At 38.6% G+C, this 18377-nt stretch overlaps 2 annotated features.

Moving 5' to 3' along the window:
• Window positions 3307–3807: an enhancer, noted in NCBI's record as "H3K4me1 hESC enhancer chr4:37147574-37148074 (GRCh37/hg19 assembly coordinates)". NCBI's record gives its function as "activates a minimal SCP1, AML or CMV promoter by ChIP-STARR-seq in naive H9 embryonic stem cells {active_cell/tissue: H9 hESC(naive)}" and the evidence as "EXISTENCE:reporter gene assay evidence [ECO:0000049][PMID:30033119]".
• Window positions 3808–4308: an enhancer, noted in NCBI's record as "H3K4me1 hESC enhancer chr4:37148075-37148575 (GRCh37/hg19 assembly coordinates)". NCBI's record gives its function as "activates a minimal SCP1, AML or CMV promoter by ChIP-STARR-seq in naive H9 embryonic stem cells {active_cell/tissue: H9 hESC(naive)}" and the evidence as "EXISTENCE:reporter gene assay evidence [ECO:0000049][PMID:30033119]".

Consider the following 18377-nt stretch of genomic DNA (forward strand, 5'->3'; position numbering starts at 1 on the left):
AGCTGTTTTAAACAGTACTGCAGCAAACATGGGAGTGCAGATATCTCTTCAATATACTGCTTTCCTTTCTTTTGGTATATACCCAGTAGCTGGATTGCTGGATCATATGGTAACTCAATTTTTAGTTTTTGGAGGAACTTCCAAACTGTTCTCCATAGTGGTTGTATTAATTTACATTCCCACCAACGGTGTCCAAGGGCTCCCTATTCTCCACATCCTTGCCAGCATTTGCTATTGCCTGTCTTTCGGATGTAAGCCATTTTAACTGGTAGAAGATAATATCTCCTTGTAGTTTTGATTTGCATTTCTCTGATGATCAGTGATGTTGAGCACATTTTCATGTATCTGTTTGCCATTTGTATGTCTTCTTTTGGGAAATGTCTATTCAAATATTTTGCCCATTTTTTATCAGATTATTAAACTTTTTCCTATAGAGTTGTTTGAGCTCCTTTTATATTATATATTCTGGTTATTAACTTCTTCACAGATGGGTAGTTTGCAAATATTTTCTCCTATTCTGTGGGTTGTCTTTTCACTTTGTTCATTGTTTCCTTTGCTGTGAGGAGAAGCTTTTTAACTTGATGTGATCCCATTTGTCCATTTTGCTTTGGTTGTCTGTGCTTGTGGGGTATTGCTCAAGAAGTCTTTGCCAAAACAAATGTCCTGGAGATAGTCCCCAATGTTTCCTTGTAGTAGTCTCATAGTTTGGGGTCTCAGATCTACATCTTCAATTTATTTTTATTTTATTTTTATATAGTGATAGATACAGGTTAGTTTCACTCTTCTGCCTATGGATATTCAGTTTTCCCAGTACCATTTATTGAAGAGACTGTCCTTTCCCCATGTATGTCTTGGCACCTTTCGCAAAAATGAGTTCACTATAGGTGTTTGTATTTGTTTCTGCATTATCTATTCTGTTGCATTGATCTATGTGTCTGTTTTTATGCTAGTATCATGCTGTTAGGGTTACTATAGCTCTATAGTATAATTTGAAGTCACATGATGTGATTCTTCCAGTTTTGACCTTTTTGCTTAGGACAGCTTTGACTATTCTGGGTCTTTTGTGGTTCTATATAAATTTTAGGATTGCTTTTTCTATTTCCATGAAGAATGTCATTGGTATTTTGATAGGGATCACATTGACTCTGCAGATTGTTTTGGGTAGTATGCACATTTTAACAATATAAATTCTTCCAATCCATTAACATTAACATGGAATATTTCTTTTTTTTTTTTTTTTTTTTTTAGTGTTCTCTTCAATTTCCCTTATCAGTGTTTTGTAGTTTTCATTATAGAGATCTTTCACTTCTCTGGTTAAATTAATTCCTAGGTATTTAATTTTATGTGTGGCTATGAAAAATGATATTACTTATAAAATTTCTTTTCCACATTGTTCACTGTTGGAATACAGAAATCCTACTGAATTTTATATGTTGATTTTATATCCTGCAACTTCCTGAATTTGTTTATCAGTTCTAATAGTTTTGCTGTGAAGTCTTTAGGTCTTTCCAAATATAAGATTATATCATCTTCATTTTCCATTTGGATGCCATTTATGTCTTTCTCTTATCTGATTGCTGTAGCTAGGACTTCCAGTACTACATTGAATAACAGTGGTGACATTGGGTGTCCTTGTCGTATTCCACATCTTAGAGGAAAGGCTTTCAATTTTTCAGTATGATAATAGTTGTGGGTCTGTCATATATAGCTTTTATTATGTTGAGGCATGTTCCTTCTATCCACAGTTTTTTTAAGGTTTTTATCATGAAGGAATAATAAACTTTATCAAATGCTTTTCATCATCAACTTAAATGATCATATGGTTTTTATCCTTCATTTTGTTGGTATGATGTATCACATTGATTGAATTGAGTATATTGAACCATCCTTGAATCCCAGGGATAAATCCCACTTGGTCATAATGAGTAATCTTTCTAATGTATTATTTAATTTGGTTTGCTAGTATTTTGTTGAGGATTTTTGCATCAATATTCATCAGAGGTATTGGCCTGTAGTTTTCTTTTTTTTTTAATGTATCTTTGTTTCATCTTGATATCAGAGTAATACTGGCCTTATATAAGGAGTTGGGAAGTATTTCTTCCTCCTCTGTTTTTGGAATAATTTGAGTAGGATTGGTATTAATTATCCTTTAAATGTTTGGCAGAATTCAGCAATGAAGCCATCAAGTCCTGGGCTTTTATTTAGTGGGAGACTTTTTAATTACAGCTTCGATCTCATTACGTGTTATGGGTCTGTTCATGTTTTGGATTTCTCCCAGGTTCAATGTTGATAGGCTGTGTGTGTCTAGGGATTGGTCCATTTCTTCTAGATTTTCCAATGTATTGGCATACAGCTGCTCATAATAGCAACTAATGATCCTTTGAATTTCTGTAATGTCTCCTTTTTCATTTCTGATTTTATTTATTTAGATCTTCTCTCTCTTTTCTTAGTCTGGGTAAAGGTTTGTCATATTGTTTAACTTTTCAAAAACCCAACTTTTTGATTCATTCATCTTTTGTATTATTTTGTTCATTTCAATTTCATTTATTTCTGCTCTAATCTTTATTATTTATTTTCTTCTATTAACTTTGAGTTTGGTTTGTTCTTGCACTTCTAGTTCTTTAAGATGCATGCTTAGATTATTCACTTGAAGTTTTTCCTCTTTTTTGATGTAAGTACTTATACCTATGAACTTCCCTCTTGGTACTGCTTTTGCTGTATCCCATAGATATTGGTATGTTTTGTTTCCATTGTCATTTGTTTCAAGACATGTTTTAATTTCGTTCTTAATTTCTTCATTGATTGATATGGTTTGGCTGTGTTTTCACCCAAATCTCATCTTGAATTATAATCCTCATAATCCCTATGTGTCTAGGGAGAGACCTGGTGGGAGGTGATTGGATCATGGGGGCAGTTTCTCCCAAACTGTTCTTATGATAGTAAGTGAGTTCTGATGGTTTTATAAGGGGCTCTCCCCCCTTTGCTACTTGCTCTTCTCTCTCCTGCCACCCTGAGAAGGGGTGCCTTCTGCCATGATTGTAAGTTTCATGAGACCTCCCCAGCCATGCAGAACTGTGAGTCGATTAAACCTCTTTTCTTTATAAATTACCCAGTCTCAGGCAGTTCTTGATAGCAGTGTGAGAATGGACTAATACAGTAAATTGGTACTGAGGTAGTGGGCACTGCTATAAGGATACCCAAAAATGTGGAAACGACTTTGGAATTGTGTAATGAGCAGAGGTTGGAACAGTTGGGAGGGTTCAGAAGAAGACAGGAAGATGTGGGGAAGTTTGGAACTTCCTAGAGACTTGTTGAATGTTTTTGACCAAAATGCCAATAGTGATATGGACAATGAAGTCCAGGCTGAGGTAGTCTCAGAGAGAGATGAGGAGCTTCTTGGGAACTGCAGTAAAGGTCACTCTTGTTATGCTTTAGCAAAGATACTGGTGGCATTTTACCCCTGCCCTTAGAGATCTGTGGAACTTTGAACTTCAGAGAGATGATTTAGGATATCTGGCAGAAGAAATTTATAAGCAGCAAAGCATTCAAGACGTGACAGAGCACAAAAGTTTGGAAAACTTGCAGCCTGACAATGCAGTAGAAAAGAAAAGCCCATTTTCTGGGGAAAAATTCAAACCTCAAGCCAGCTGGAAAAATTTGCATAAGTAACGAGGAGCCAAGTGTTAATCACCAAGACAATGGGAAAAATGTTTCCAGAAACCTTTGCAGTAGCACCTTCCATGGCAGGCTGAGAGGCCTAGAAGGGAAAAATGGTTTCATGGGCCAAGCTTAGGGACCCGCTGCTGTGTGTGGCCTCAGCCCTGTGTCCCAGATGCTCCAGCCCTGGCTAAAAAGAGGCCAAGGTACATCACAGGCCATTGCTTCAGAGGGTGCAAGACCCAGCCTTGGCAGTTTCCATGTGGTGCTGGTCCTGCAGATATGCAGAAGATAATCACTGAGGTTTGGGAACCTCCATCTAGATTTCAGAAGATGTATGGAAATGCCTGGATGTCCAGGAAGAGGTGTGCTCCACAGGTGGATCCCTGATGGAGAATCTCTGTCATGGCAGTGCAGGATGGAAATGTGAGGTTGAAGTCCCCACACAGAGTCCCCACTGGAACACTGCCTAATGGAGCTGTGAGAAGATGGCCACTGTCCTCCAGACCCCACAATAGTAGTCCCACTGACAGCTTGCACTGTGCACCTGAAAAAGCCATAGACACTCAACGCCAGCTGTGAAAGCAGCTGGGCCAGGGAGCTCTACCCTGCAAAGCCACAAGGGTGGATCTACCCAAGGTCATGGGAGCCCACCTCTTGAATCATTGTGACTTGGATGTCAGACATAGAGTCAAAGGAAATTACTTAGGAACTTTGAGATTTATTGACTGCCCTGTTGAATTTTGGACTTGCATGGGGCCTGCAGCCCCTGTTATGACCAATTTCTCCCATTCGGTATGGGAGCATTTATCTGATCCCTGTATCCCCATTTTATCTTGAAAGTAGCAAACTTGCTTATGATTTTACAGGCTCATAGGCAGAAAGGACTTCCCTTGTCTAGATGAGACCTTGGACTTGCACTTTTGGGTTGATCCTGGAATGAGCTAAGACTTTGGGGGACTGTTGGAAAGGCATGATTGTGTTTTGAAATGTGAGGACATGAGATTTAGGATGGGCTGGCTGGAGTGATATGTTTTGGCTGTGCCCCCACCCAAATCTCCTCTTGAATTGGAATCCCCATAATCCCCATGTGTCATGTCTAGGGAAAAGCCTTGTGGGAGGTGATTGGATCATGGGGGTGGTTTCTCCCATGCTGTTCTCATAATAGTGAGTGAGTTCTCACAAGATCTGATGGTTTTATGAGGGGCTCTTCCCCCTTTGCTACTCATTCTCTCTCCTGCCACCCTGTGAAGAGGTGCCTTCTGCCATGATTATAAGTTTCCTGAGGCCTCCCCAGGCATGCAGAGCTGTGAGTTAACTAAACCTCTTTACTTTATAAATTACTCAGTCTCATCCAGTTCTTCATAGCATTGTGAGAACAGACTAATACATTGACCCAGTTGTCATTGCAGAGCATATTGTTTAATTTCCTATTTACATTTGTATACTTTCCAAGATTCCTCTTGTTACTGATTTCTAGTTTTATTCCATTGTGGTCCAAGAAGATATTTGATATTAGTTCAATTTTTTTAATGTTTTAAGACTTACTTTGTGACCTAACATGTGGTCTATCCTTGAGAATGATTCATGTGCTGGGAAAAAGAAAGTGTATTCTGCAGCTCTTGGATGAAATGTTATGGTAATACCTATTAGATCTATTTGGTTTATAGTGTGGGTTAAGTCTGATGTTTCTTTGTTGATTTTGTGTCTGGAAGACATGTCTAGTGCTGAAAATGAGGTGTTGAAGTCTCCAGCTATTATTATATTGGAGCCTCTCTCTTTAGCTCTAATAGTATTTCCTTTATGTATCTGGATGCTCCAGTATTGGATGCATATATATTTAAAATTGTTATATTATCTTGCTGAATTGATCCTTTATCATTATATAGTGACCTTCTCTGTCTCTTTTTATAATTTTTGTCTTAAGAGCTATTTTGTCTGATATTACTATAGCAACTCCTGCTCTTTTTTGGTTTCCATTGGTATGGAATATCTTTTTCCATTCCTTTATTTTCAGTCTATGTATATCTTCATAAGTGAAGTGTGTTTCTCGTAGGCAACAGATAAATGGATCTTGCATGTTTATCCATTCAGCCAGTCTATAGCTTTTGGTTAGAGAATTTAGTCCATTTACATTCAATGTTATTATTGATAAGTAAGGACTTACTCATGCCATTTTGTTATTTGTTTTCTGGTTGTTTTATGTTCTTCTTCCCTCCTGTCTTTTTCTAGGGAAGGCATTTTCTCTGGTGATATAATTTAGTTTCTTGCTTTTTACTTTTTGTGTATCCATTGTATGTTTTTTGGTTTGAGGGTACCATGGGGCTTTCAAATCCTATCTTATAACCCATTATTTTGACCTAATAACAACTTCACACCACTTGCATAAACAAACAAGCCAAAAGAAAAATAGCAAAAACTCTATGCCTTCATTTCATCCCCTCACTTTTTAACTTTTTGTTGTTTCTATTTATATCTTATTGTACTAACTATATCTTGAAAAGTTATTGTAGTTACTGTTTCTGATGGGTTCATTGTTTAGTCTTTCAACTTAGGATAAGAGTAGTTTACACACCACAGTTACAGTGTTATAATACTCTATGTTTCTCTGTGTACTATTAACAGCAAGTTTTGTACCTTCAGGTGATTATTTATTGCTCATTAATGTCCTTTTCTTTCTGATTGAAGTACTTCATTTAACTTTTCTGGTAGGACAGGCCTGGCATTGGTAAAATCCCTCTTCTCTTGTTTGTCTGGGACGGTCTTTATTTCTCCTCCATGTTTGAAGGATATTTTAGCTGGATGTAGTATCCCAGAGTAAAAGTTGGTTTTTGTTTTTGTTTTTTTTCTTTTGTTTTTTTTCCTTCAGCACTTTAAATATGTCACTCCACTCTCTCCTAGCCTGTAAGGTTTCCACTGAAAAGTCTGTTGCCAGCTGTATTGGAACTCTATTGTATGTTATTAGTTTCTTTTCTCTTGCTGCTTTTAGCTTCCTTTCTTTATCCTTGACCTTGAGGAGTTTGAGTATTAATGCCTTGAGGTAGTCTTCTTTGGGTTAAATCTGCTTGGTGCTCTATAACCTTCTTGCACTTGGATATTTATATCTTCCTCTAGGTTTGGGAAGTTCTCTGTTATACATTTGAACAAACTTTCCATGTTGATTTTCTTTGAGTTTCCTCAGGATCGGTCCCTGGTGCCTTATTTAGTTCATTTGGTGAGGTCATGTTTTCCTGAATGGTGTCAATGCTAGTAGGTGTTCTTTGGTGTCTGGGCATTGAAGGGTTAGGTATTTATTGTAACCTTCACTGTCAGGGCTTATTTGTAGCCATCCTTCTTGTGAAGGCATTCTAGATATTTAAAAGGAGTTGGGTGTTGTCATCTAAGCTGTATCTGCTTTAGGAGGCACTCCAAGCCTAGTAACACTGTGGTTCTTGCAGACTTATAGAGATACCACCTTGATTGTCTTGGACCGGATCTGATAGAATTCTCTAGATACCAGGCAGAGGCTTGTGTTGTCTTTTCTCACTTTCTCCCATACATGCAGAGTTTCTCTCTCTTTGCTTTGAGTCACATAAAGCTAGGGTGGAGTGATACAAGCACCCCTGTGGCCACCACTACTATGACTGCACTGGGTCAGCAGTGACCCGGAAGCCAGCACAGCACTGGGTCTCACCCATGGCCTGCTGTAACCACTCCCTGGCTACTGCATATGTTCACTCAAGGCCCTGGGACTCTATAATCAGAAGTTTGCAAATCCAACCAGATTCTGTCTTCTTCCCTTCAGGTCAGCAAGGTTCTTCAGGCCCAGGGTGGGTCCAGAAGTACCATCTGACAGTCAGGAACTAGAGTCAAAAACCTTAGAAGTCCACATGGTATTCTATTATATTGCAGCTGAGCTGGCACTCAAACCACAAGACACAGTTTTTCCCACTCTTCCCTTCCCCTTCCAAAGGTAGAGGAGCCTCACCCCATAGCCACTGCCACCCTAGGCCATGAGGAGTACTGACAGACTACTGCTCATGTCCCCTCAAGGCCTCTTAAGTCAGCTTGTCATGAATGCTGCCTGGCCTGGAACTCACCTTTCAGGACAGTGAATTCCCTTCTGGCTCAGGGCAGATTCAATATGCTGTCCAAGAGTAAAGTCCTTGAATTAGGGACCCCAAGAGCCCACTTGTTACTCTCCTTCCCTGTGGCTGTGCTGGTATCTGAAGCCAGCAAGTCTTAGAAGCTCACCCAAGGCCCTTGATTTAGTACCTGGGTATTGCTGCTGGACACCCAAGGCCCTTGATGTAGTACCTGGGTATTGCTGCTGGACATTCACGGCCCAAGGGCTGTTAGCAGGTGATAAATGCTGCCAGGACTGGGTCTTTTCCTTTAAGGCAGTGGGTTCCCTTCTCGCCTGGGGTGTGTCTAGAAACATCATCTGGGAGCAAAGGCCTAGAACAGGGGCCCCATGACCCTGACCAGTGCCCTGTCGTGCTTGGCTGAGCTGGTATCCAAGATGCAAGGCAAAGTCCTCCCCACTCTTTCCTCTCTTCAAGTAAAAGAAAGTGGTATCTTTTGGAGCCTCAAGCTATGCAGACTGGGGTTAGGGGAGGGGTGATGCCAGCACTCCATTGTCTTCCCCAGCTGGTGTCTCAGTATATCAGGTGCAATCCCAGTCCACTGTCTCTGGGCCTAGTTCAGCACCAGGACTCACCTAAGAGTTACAGTCCTTATGGCCCAGATTGCCTTTCAAGTTTAGTTGGAGATACAGAGCACTGTAGCCTTCAGTGGTGAGGTTTATGGGAGCTCAAGTTCAAACCACTGGGAGGCACAATTCCCATTTGGCCAGGGCTGGTTTAAATGCCCCTTCAGTGGGCAGGCATCAACTGAATTTGGTCCAGGTTTCCTTTCTGCCCTGACAGGACAGCACTGAGTTCAATGCTTCACAATTGCTCTTTTCTCCCTCCCTCAGTACCCAGAGATGCTCTGCACACCAGGCAGCTGCTTCCAGTGTGGGGGGAGGAGTGGTGTCAGCGATTCAGGACTATTTTTTTAATCTCTTCAGTGCTTCTTTCAGCCATATGAAGTTAAAACCAGGTACTGTAAGTGCTCATTTTATCTTTCGTTCTTATGGAGGTGTTTTTCTCTGTGAAGGTAGTTGTTAACTTGGTATCCTTGCAGGGGGAAGGGCAATCGGTGGAGCTCTCTATTCTACCATCTTGCTCTGTCTCTCAGTATTACTTTGTGTGTTTTGCGATTTGTATAAACACTGTCATACTTTGTCATCTGAAACACGTTTTTTTTTTCCCTTCCAATATTACATATCCAATAAATATCCATGTTGTTACATATCCATCTAGGCCATTCTCCTTAACATCGCTGTAGCACTCCATCACACAGATAATGCTTCCTTCTTCTTTGATGGAATTTTGGTTATTCGTATTTGTAACTGTTAAAATTGACTCTAAAATTAGCATTCTTGAACAAGTTTCCTGGTGCCCATGTGCAATGGTTACTTTAAAATATGTATGTAGAAACAGAATCCTAAATATTTAGTGCTTTGCGTTTTCAATTTTACTAAATATTTTTCTGGTCACTGGTGAGACTGAGCATGTTTTCATGTGTTATTAATCATGCAGGATTCCTTTTATGTCAATTGCCTATTTTACTGTTTTGTTTGTGTGATGCTGCCTTATTGAGTTGTAGAAGTTCTCCATAAAAACACTATTTACAATGTTAGGAGATAGACTGGAAATTTATTTCCTTTTCATCTTTATTGAGATATAATAGACAATAAAGATTGTATGTATTCAAGGTGTACTGTGATGTTTTGATATACATATACATTATGAAATGATTACCACATCAAGCTAATAAACATGTCCATCACGTCACATAGTTACTATTTTTTGGTAGTGAGAATACTTAATATCTACTCTGTTAGCAAATTACAAGTATATAATACATTATTATGAACTATAGTCACTGTGCTATACATTAGGCCTCCAGAACTTATTCACCTTATAACTGTAAATTTGTACCTTTGGACCAAGGTCTCCCTACTTCTCCCATCTTCTCACCCCTGGTAATCATAGTTCTACTGTTTCTATGTATTTGGCTTTTTTGGATTCCACATATAAGTGAGATCACACCGGCATTACTCACAGTAGCCAAGACATAGAACTATCTAAGTGTCCATTGACAGGTGGATAAAGAAGTTGTGCTACACACACACACATACACACATTCACACACACCCAATGGAATATTATTCAGCCTTGAAAAAGGAGATTCTGCCATTTACAACAATGTGGATGAACCTGATAGACATTGTGCTAAGTAAAGTAAGCCAGGGTGGAAATTTAAATAGTCGATAGTCATTATTGGTAACTTAATTTTGAATCAAAAACTATTTTGCTACCCCTTTTTCAAGCTTCTTGATTAATTTACTTAAAAATATAATAAGCTTGAAAGAAAACTATTTTAAAAACTGCTTCCACTTGGAACTGTTGATCTTTAAGAAATCAGACCTTTCTAAATATTGTTCAACCAAAACCAAATTATTAAATAGAAAAATAAGGTTGGGCCAGGCATGATGGCTCACACCTGTAATCCCAACACTTTGGGAGGCCAAGGCGGGTGGATCACAAGGTCAGGAGTTTGAGACCAGCCTGCCCAACATAGTGAAATGCTGTCTCTACTAAAAATACAAAACATTAGCTGGGCAGGGTGGCAGGCACCTGTAATCCCAGCTATTCAGGAGGCTGAGGCAGGAGAATCACGTGAACCCAGGAGGTGGAGGTTGCAGTGAGCTGAGGTCATGCCATTGCACTCCAGCCCAGGCAACAGTGCAAGACTCCATCTCAAAAAAAAAAAAAAAAGAAGAAGACTAAGGCTGGTACAAGACTATAGTTGTCATTCCTAACAAGGTTTTAAAATGATTATTTTATAATTGTATAAATAAAAGTCCTAAAGTTCAACATATACATTTATGCTAATGTAATCTTCATTGACATTCTCTTACATACCTACGCTTCATACTGAATTTTATTTGAATAACGTGTCTTCCACTAATTTAAAATCTCTTGCTTAACAGACAAGGAAGCACAATCCCAAGGATTTACTTGACTTGCCTAAGATCATAGAGTTCGTCAAATCAACTTGCCTGATAAAATAAAAATATTAAATTTCTTTGTAGGGTATAAGTGTTTCTAAAGTTTTCTCCTTCATTGTTTAATGTCATTAATAACCTCAGAATTACAAACATTAAAGTGAAATGATAAGGTCTGAAGTGGTAAATTTGGTTTACGATCACGGATATGTACAGTTATTTAACTGCCAACAAAATAGATTTGTGGAAGTCATTAAGGTTTTGTGGCAAGAAATATGGAGAAGAAAATGAGGAGACTGGCAATGTCTCCTCATTTACTTCTATGTATAAGATTCCATTCTTATTCGAGTTTTGAAACAGTGGAATCAATCACCTTTTCTTTCCCTCTAGATTCTGAACAAATTGAGAATTACACACAGGAAACAGATGAGAATCAAAATATCAACTTAATGATCAATAAATCTGGACCAGAGAAGGCAACGTGGATGTAAGACCCCAAACTATGCCTCCAAGAACTTACCCCTACTCAGTCACAGCTGTCAGTAGGGCACAGAATCTCTGCTCCAGGGAGCTTCTCCACAGCAGCAAGAAAAGGAGAATACAGGCTGCCGGTAGACATGCTGATCCCAGAACAAGAACAAGCAAGACAACAGGCAGTGCTCACACACTAGGACTTTCCCACTCTTCCTCCTGTGGGATGATAGAATAAATGAACAGAAAAAAACGTATCCACCATTTATCTGCTGAGAAATAGTACTGAAGATCTCTCACGTTAAGGTTAGTGACACAGGGTGTTCTTTTATTCGTTGAAGTTGTAGCAAGAAAGTAATGACACGCTTCAAACAGTGGGCTGAAGGGATTGATGGAAAGACTATTCATAATGCTAAGGCAATGCTAAAGGAGAGAAACAAGGGGCAGTGATGCAGCTGAAGCTCACAAGAACAGGTTGTATGTTGACATCTCTAAGGCCTAAGCAGCAACGGGAAGCAGGGGGCAATGTTGTTGCCGGAACATGGCAGTAGCTGCGGCTTTCGGAGTGAAGAACAAGCAACTGTCAGACCATGGCCAGAGAGGGAATGAACCAGGAGAACAAATACTCCAACCTCTCTCTACTTATCGTTGATTATCCTGCCAGCACTGCCCATCCACCACTAGCACCACCACCACCGTCACAATCAAGGCGAGCATGGTTGATGCTGTCCAGAGAAGCCAGTCTCCCAGAGTGGAGGGCAGAGTGGAGAGTGGTAAAAGTTACATCCAACCCAGCCCCCAACACATATGAATACATCAACTCGCAAAAGGGAACTTAAACTACAACAGCTGGATTACATCATAGCTACCTGTCTTCAGTGCTCAATTGGCAAGGGAAAATTGTATATCAGATCTTTGGACACCAATGGGAAGAGTAATCAGATTGATTAATTACAAGAAACGACTTATTGACAGAGTTTTTTAAAGTATTAATTTAAGTGTGGACAAGTGTTTCTAATTAACTTTTAACATCACCCAACGCTAAGTATCTTCTGATGCAATTATATGAGTGTTAGAAAATTCATGAAATAGTTGTGGAGGTAGACACATTATTTCAATGCAAATGACACTAGATAAAAGTGGTGTAGGGAACATCTGTCTATTACACATATATGTGTGTATAAAAACGAGAGTTTCTGAGAAAAATAATTAACTTTGATGCCTGGGAAAAGAAAGAAGAACATGGAAGCAGCAGTGGCGGACACATTAAACATCCAGAGTTTTCTTCTAAACTTGATATCACTTGGACCCAGCTCAGTTTTCTTCCCAAACAATGTCAAGTCAACTGCTAAGGCTTGGATTCCACATTGTCATTTTACCACCCCAGAAGTGTTTGGCTAAAATCTAGACTTCTGCCAATATTTTGTCAACATTTGAAATCTTCCTCTTCAGGTGATTCACCTTTTAGAAAACCCCAACCGATGTTTTCTAAAAGAGGAAAACTTTTCCCCTAACAGTTTAAAAATAATGGGAAATATAATTATTCTTTTTTTTTAGGTAATGTCTATGCAAACCTAACTCCAAGGAAAGCATGGACCATTCCCATCATTTACCCTGACAATCATGGTTTACTCATGGATCACAAAAGCATCAACCAACGAAGCTGCTTGATGGCTGCTATACTTCTTTCCATGGTCTCCCAGCTGTCTCTGCATGTACACCATTTGTTTCATTGCTTGTGTGTGTGTGTGTGTGTGTGTGTGTGTGTCCTTTTTTTTTTTCTAAAAGACCAATTTAGAGTGTATTCATTTTGGAACAACGTCTGAGTTGTGCTTCCGGCAGTTCTAATTCAGTAATCTTTTTTTTTTCAGGCATTGTGTATTTTTTTTACTCTCTGAAAGGACATTCAGTGCTTTATGAAGTTTCACAATAAAATTTGAGTTGAGAATTTCAAAACGTAGATTTAGATAAAACAACAACAACAACAACAAATGCCTGTGGTCTTAAGGATCACTGTCATCCATTCAATAAAATTTTACTGTTTCTGCAATATGCTAGGCGTAGAGTATATCGAGGAGGAATGCACAGATGTAACACAGAGCCAGTCTACCAGGAGAGATAAACAGGTTTAAATAATCAAAATACACTCTGTTAAGCATTACGTGTAGACCCTGCCAGGTGCCTAACTATTTTTAATATGCTTTTTCTTTCTTGCTGGTAGACTCTCAATTTTAATTAACGTAGCAATGCAACCAGCTAAAAATGCTTGATTTCCCAGACTCCTGTGCCTACAGGTGTATGCAATAGATAAATGAGATTAAGGCAGAAGAGCATTGCCTTCTGAACAGAGGCAAAATCTAGGATATGTTGCTTAGCTCCTTGCCCCTTTGCCCTTCTCCCATCTTCCTAAGAATATGGATAAGAGTCAAGAAGTGCAGCAGCCATTGTGCAACTGAAAGGCACAATGCATGAGGAAAAAAATCCTAAATCTAAGGACAGTAGAGTAAAACTATGGAAAAAGATAGAGTTCTTAATAATATCAATCAGTAACCCAGCATGGCCCCTACAGAATTTTTATTGCATAAGACAAATAAACTGCAATCTGTTTACGCCATTACTAACTGATACTGGCTGTGATATAAGGATGCTTCATTTCCTACAAAGCACAAAGAGAAGGAGCAGAGAGAAAGTTTCACAAGAGACACTGGCATTTAAAATTTGAGCATCCTTTAGGTGGAAGGAAGGAGAAGACAGCAGAGTTTAAAGGTTGATGGGAACTAGAATCAATATGTTTGCACCCATATTGAGTTTCTGCAATATAGAAACCTACACTGTGCACATGGGGGCAAGTTTAATTTCTCTCTACCTGTTTTCTCATCAGTAGTGGAGTAGTTATTGTACCTACTTTATAGCATAGTTGTAAATGTAAAAAGGTGATCACTAGTAAAGCTATTACTGAAACAATGCTGGACACCTCATACGGCAGGTGTGAATGGGAGTACAGGAGATTCAGCTGCTTCCTCATAGTTACACTCCCAATGGCAGCTGAACATTGTGCATACTGGCTGCTTGTTATCAGATTTTTCTAGATGGATCTGCATTATCTATTAATTCATTTAGGATTAAGCAGAGCTAATTTTTTTAAGTCCTTTCCTCAGGACTTGATCGAGTAATATGCAGGTTGAAGTTTGTGCAGTCATCAGATATAGCCCATAGATGGATGCCTGAATAGACCCGGTTTTCATTTATATGACTATTTATCAATGCATGTACTTTTCCTCTCTGTCACCACCATTCTGTTACCAGACAGTTTCTGTTGGATCAATCACTCCCTATTCAGTTATTTTCTCTACTTGACCAAAAGTATTCCTAACCCACTAAGACTTCTGACTTCCCCCTAAGACAGCTCTACCCATGTGACTTTGTTTCTGAATGTACCCGAGATTTTGTTTTTATTCAGGTATGATGAGGCCAACAGTGGAGGAGACAATTGCATTGAGAAGAATAGTTTGCTACAGCTCCCAAGAGGAGAGGGATCCCATGTGCAAAGATTAATTTCATGTGTCAACTTGTCTGGGCCACAGTATGCTCAGATAGCCGATTAAACCTTCTTTCTGGTGTGTCTGTGAGGGTGTTTCTGGAAGAGATGAACATTTGAATTGGTGAACTCAGTAAAGCAGATGGCCCTCTCCAGTGTGGGTGGGCCTCATCCAATCTGTTGTGTGCCTGAATAGAACAAAAAGGAGGAGAAGGTAGAATTTGTGCTCCCTCTGCTGACTACTTGAGCTGGGACATCAATCATCTCCTGCCCTCAGAGCTCCTGGTTCTCAGGCCTTCAGACTCAAACTGGAATCTAGACTGTTGGCCTCTGGCCCTGAGACCTCCACATTACATCATCAGCTTTTCTTTGTGCCAAGCTTGCAGACAGCAGATTGTGGAACTCCTCAGCCTCTATAAATGTGTGAGCTACTATTGGTTCCAAGGCAGAAGAATAGGGGCTGGAGGCAGGGAACTTAAGAATTTCTCATTACTAAATCATTCAAACACTTCAGCTATGACAAGAAATATCCTCTTTGTTTACATAGGGCTTACACTGAGTAAATGACTTTGTAACTTTACTTCATTCTCTTCATTTACATAGGGTTTATACTGAACAAGTGACTTTCACTTTAGCCTCTTCATTTATATAGGGCATACACCAAGTAACCAATGGAAACCTCTAGAGGGTATTTAAGCCCCAGAAAATTATGTAACTGGGGCCCTTGAGCCGCTTGCTAGCGCCCCTTCCCACCCTGTGGAGTGTCCTTTCATTTTCAATAAATCTCTGCTTTTGTTGCTCCATTCTTTCCTTGCTTTGTTTGTGTGTTTTGTCCAATTCTTTGTTCAAAAAACCAAGAACCTGGACACCCTCAATGGGTAACAGTTCTGTTTCTCCAGAGAACCCTAACTAATGCACCACACCATGCAGAGCCACACAGGGAAGCGCCAGGCTCAGTCATGAGGCAGAAGGAGCAAGGGGAAAGCCATGATGGTGGTTTTCCTGGGCAGGGATGAGTGAGGCAGAGTAAGCAGTTTAGGCCTAGTAGTTTGAGTCATTTTGGAGAGCTCCATAGGGGTAGTCCCTAGTTGCCTGGTACCTGGCCCTGGGATGATTAAGGCAGAGGAATATTGTCACCTGGAGTAGAAAAGCCAGATAGAGGAGGTAGTATGGAGTGTGGGCTCTGGATTGGTTGGTTTGCATATCAAAAGTTTGTTCACAGGTAAATCCTTTTACTATCTGTGGGAACTAGTTAGCTCTGAGGTCAGTGAGGCTTCAACATGTCAAAGCATCCTAAAATATAGAAAATGAAAAACATAACTAATACAGATTTGGGCCCTGGTTTATTGTTTCTTGGTTCATGGTATTTCAGCTATGTCGATTTTAAATTTTCTTCTGTGCTATGTGAATGTCCAGTTTTAATAATCTTACACAAAAAAACACAGATTATACATTGTTAAAAACACATGTTATTCAAAATAAAAGTATTCAAGTGTTCATATTGTTTTGGCTAGACTCTTTGGGAATCTTTATTTTCCAGGTACCTGCTGTCATTGGAATCTTTATTTTCCAGGTACCTGCTGTCATTTTTCACTCTCCCAGACATGAGAAAATGGATGCTTCATCAGTTAAGACTTTGAATAACGAGATACTCCACAGTTTACATTTAAGCAAGAATAACTATAGTGCCTACACAGTTACTACAACTAGAACAATACATAAAATTATTCTGTATCATACTCCACACCCAAATACTGATCATCTTACCATCTCACTCAAAATAGTGTCTTATAAAAATATATATATTTTTATATATACACATACATGGTATATTTATATTTATATATACATACATGGTATATATATAAAAATATATATGGTATATATAAAAATATACAAATATTTTTAAAGATGCTGTTTATATATATATATATATACATTCTAAGAGATACATATTTTTTCTCCCCATATATATGTATATGTATATGGTCTCTTAGAATATGTGTACATATGGGGAGAAAAAACATATGTGTGTGTGTGTATATATATATATATGTATATATATATGTATGTATAGAAAATCCTAAGAGACAAGAGACAACACAGTGCTTTTCCAATGAAATTCTATAATTTTTTTCAAATGTCATCTAACCTTCTTTTTAAAAATATATATATTTATATATATATACACATACATGGTATATTTATATTTATATATACATATATGGTATATATATATAAATATATATGGTATATATAAAAATATACGTATATTTTTAAAGATGCTGTTATTTTATATATATATATATATATATACGCATTCTAAGAGATGCATATTTTTTCTCCCCATATATATGTATATGGTCCCTTAGAATATGTGTATATATGGGGAGAAAAAACATATGTGTATATATATATATACACACATACAAGTATAGAAAATCCTAAGAGACAAGAGACAACACAGTGTTTTTCCAATGAAATTCTATAATTTTTTTCAAATGTCATCTAACCTTCTTTTTCTCTAGACTTGTAAACACTCTGTGAATAGAAACTATATCTACCTTATTCATTCTCCATTTTTAGCACCTAACTCTAGACTGTCACATGGTAGAAGCTCAATAAATATTTGTTGAAATAATGAATAATGAAGAACTTAATGCAAATAATATGACATACGAACATGGGCATATTTTAAGTCTGTAGGAAAAACATTTCTGTGGAATTCTTCTGCTAAAGTAAGTCCCTACGGCTCACTTCTCCATTTCTTGCAGGCATAGGAAGGTACGTCAAGAACAGTCACATTAACCACTAGAGTACTATAGAAATCTCTGCTCCTAAATTTTTCCTACCAGCCCTCCAGCCAAACTCTCAAATTAAAGACTGGTATTTATTTGAACTTGCACTTCTATATCTCAGTAGAGTTTGTAAACATCTGTTAGTACATGGTGCCATTTAATATTCACAACTACCTGAGATGTAATTAGGACAAGCCCATGATCCCATCAGCTCAGATGTTTACACAATCATGGCCTCAGAGATTTTGTAGTTTAAAAGGAAAAAACAAATCAAATCACTTGAAGTGAGTGGGAATTTGAGCCATGGCACTGGGCACTTCATTAGGCTACTGCACTTAGAAATGTACAATCTCAAAGATACAAGAGGCAGCTCAAATTATCCTGTCCACCTACATTTTACATTAAAAAAAAATTTTGCTTTAAAGGCTAAATAACAAACCCAAACAGCCAGCAAACACCGGGGCAATGATTCAAGTTCCAATGGCCTGTTTTCTTTCAACCTGTCTGCTTAAAAGGGGTCCATTTGAATATTAATATAATAATAAAATTGCTAAACTGAAGTTCTTTGAAGTCATTGACCTAAGGAATGAGCTATTTTGTGCCTTCACTCTCTGTATCTTTCTCACGTTAGGGGATTCCCTACAATCCCACGCACTTAGCTTTATCACTCTTCTCCATATATATATACAGAGAGAGAGAGAGTATCGCTCTGTTGCCCAGGCTGGAGTGCAGTGGTGTGATCTCGGCTCACTGCAATCTCAGCCTCCTGGGTTCAAGCAATTCTCCTGTTTCAGCCTCCGGAGTAGCTGGGACCAAA

This window comes from Homo sapiens, chromosome 4 (genome assembly GCF_000001405.40).
Source record: "Homo sapiens chromosome 4, GRCh38.p14 Primary Assembly".
Classification (NCBI taxonomy): Eukaryota; Metazoa; Chordata; class Mammalia; order Primates; family Hominidae; genus Homo; species Homo sapiens.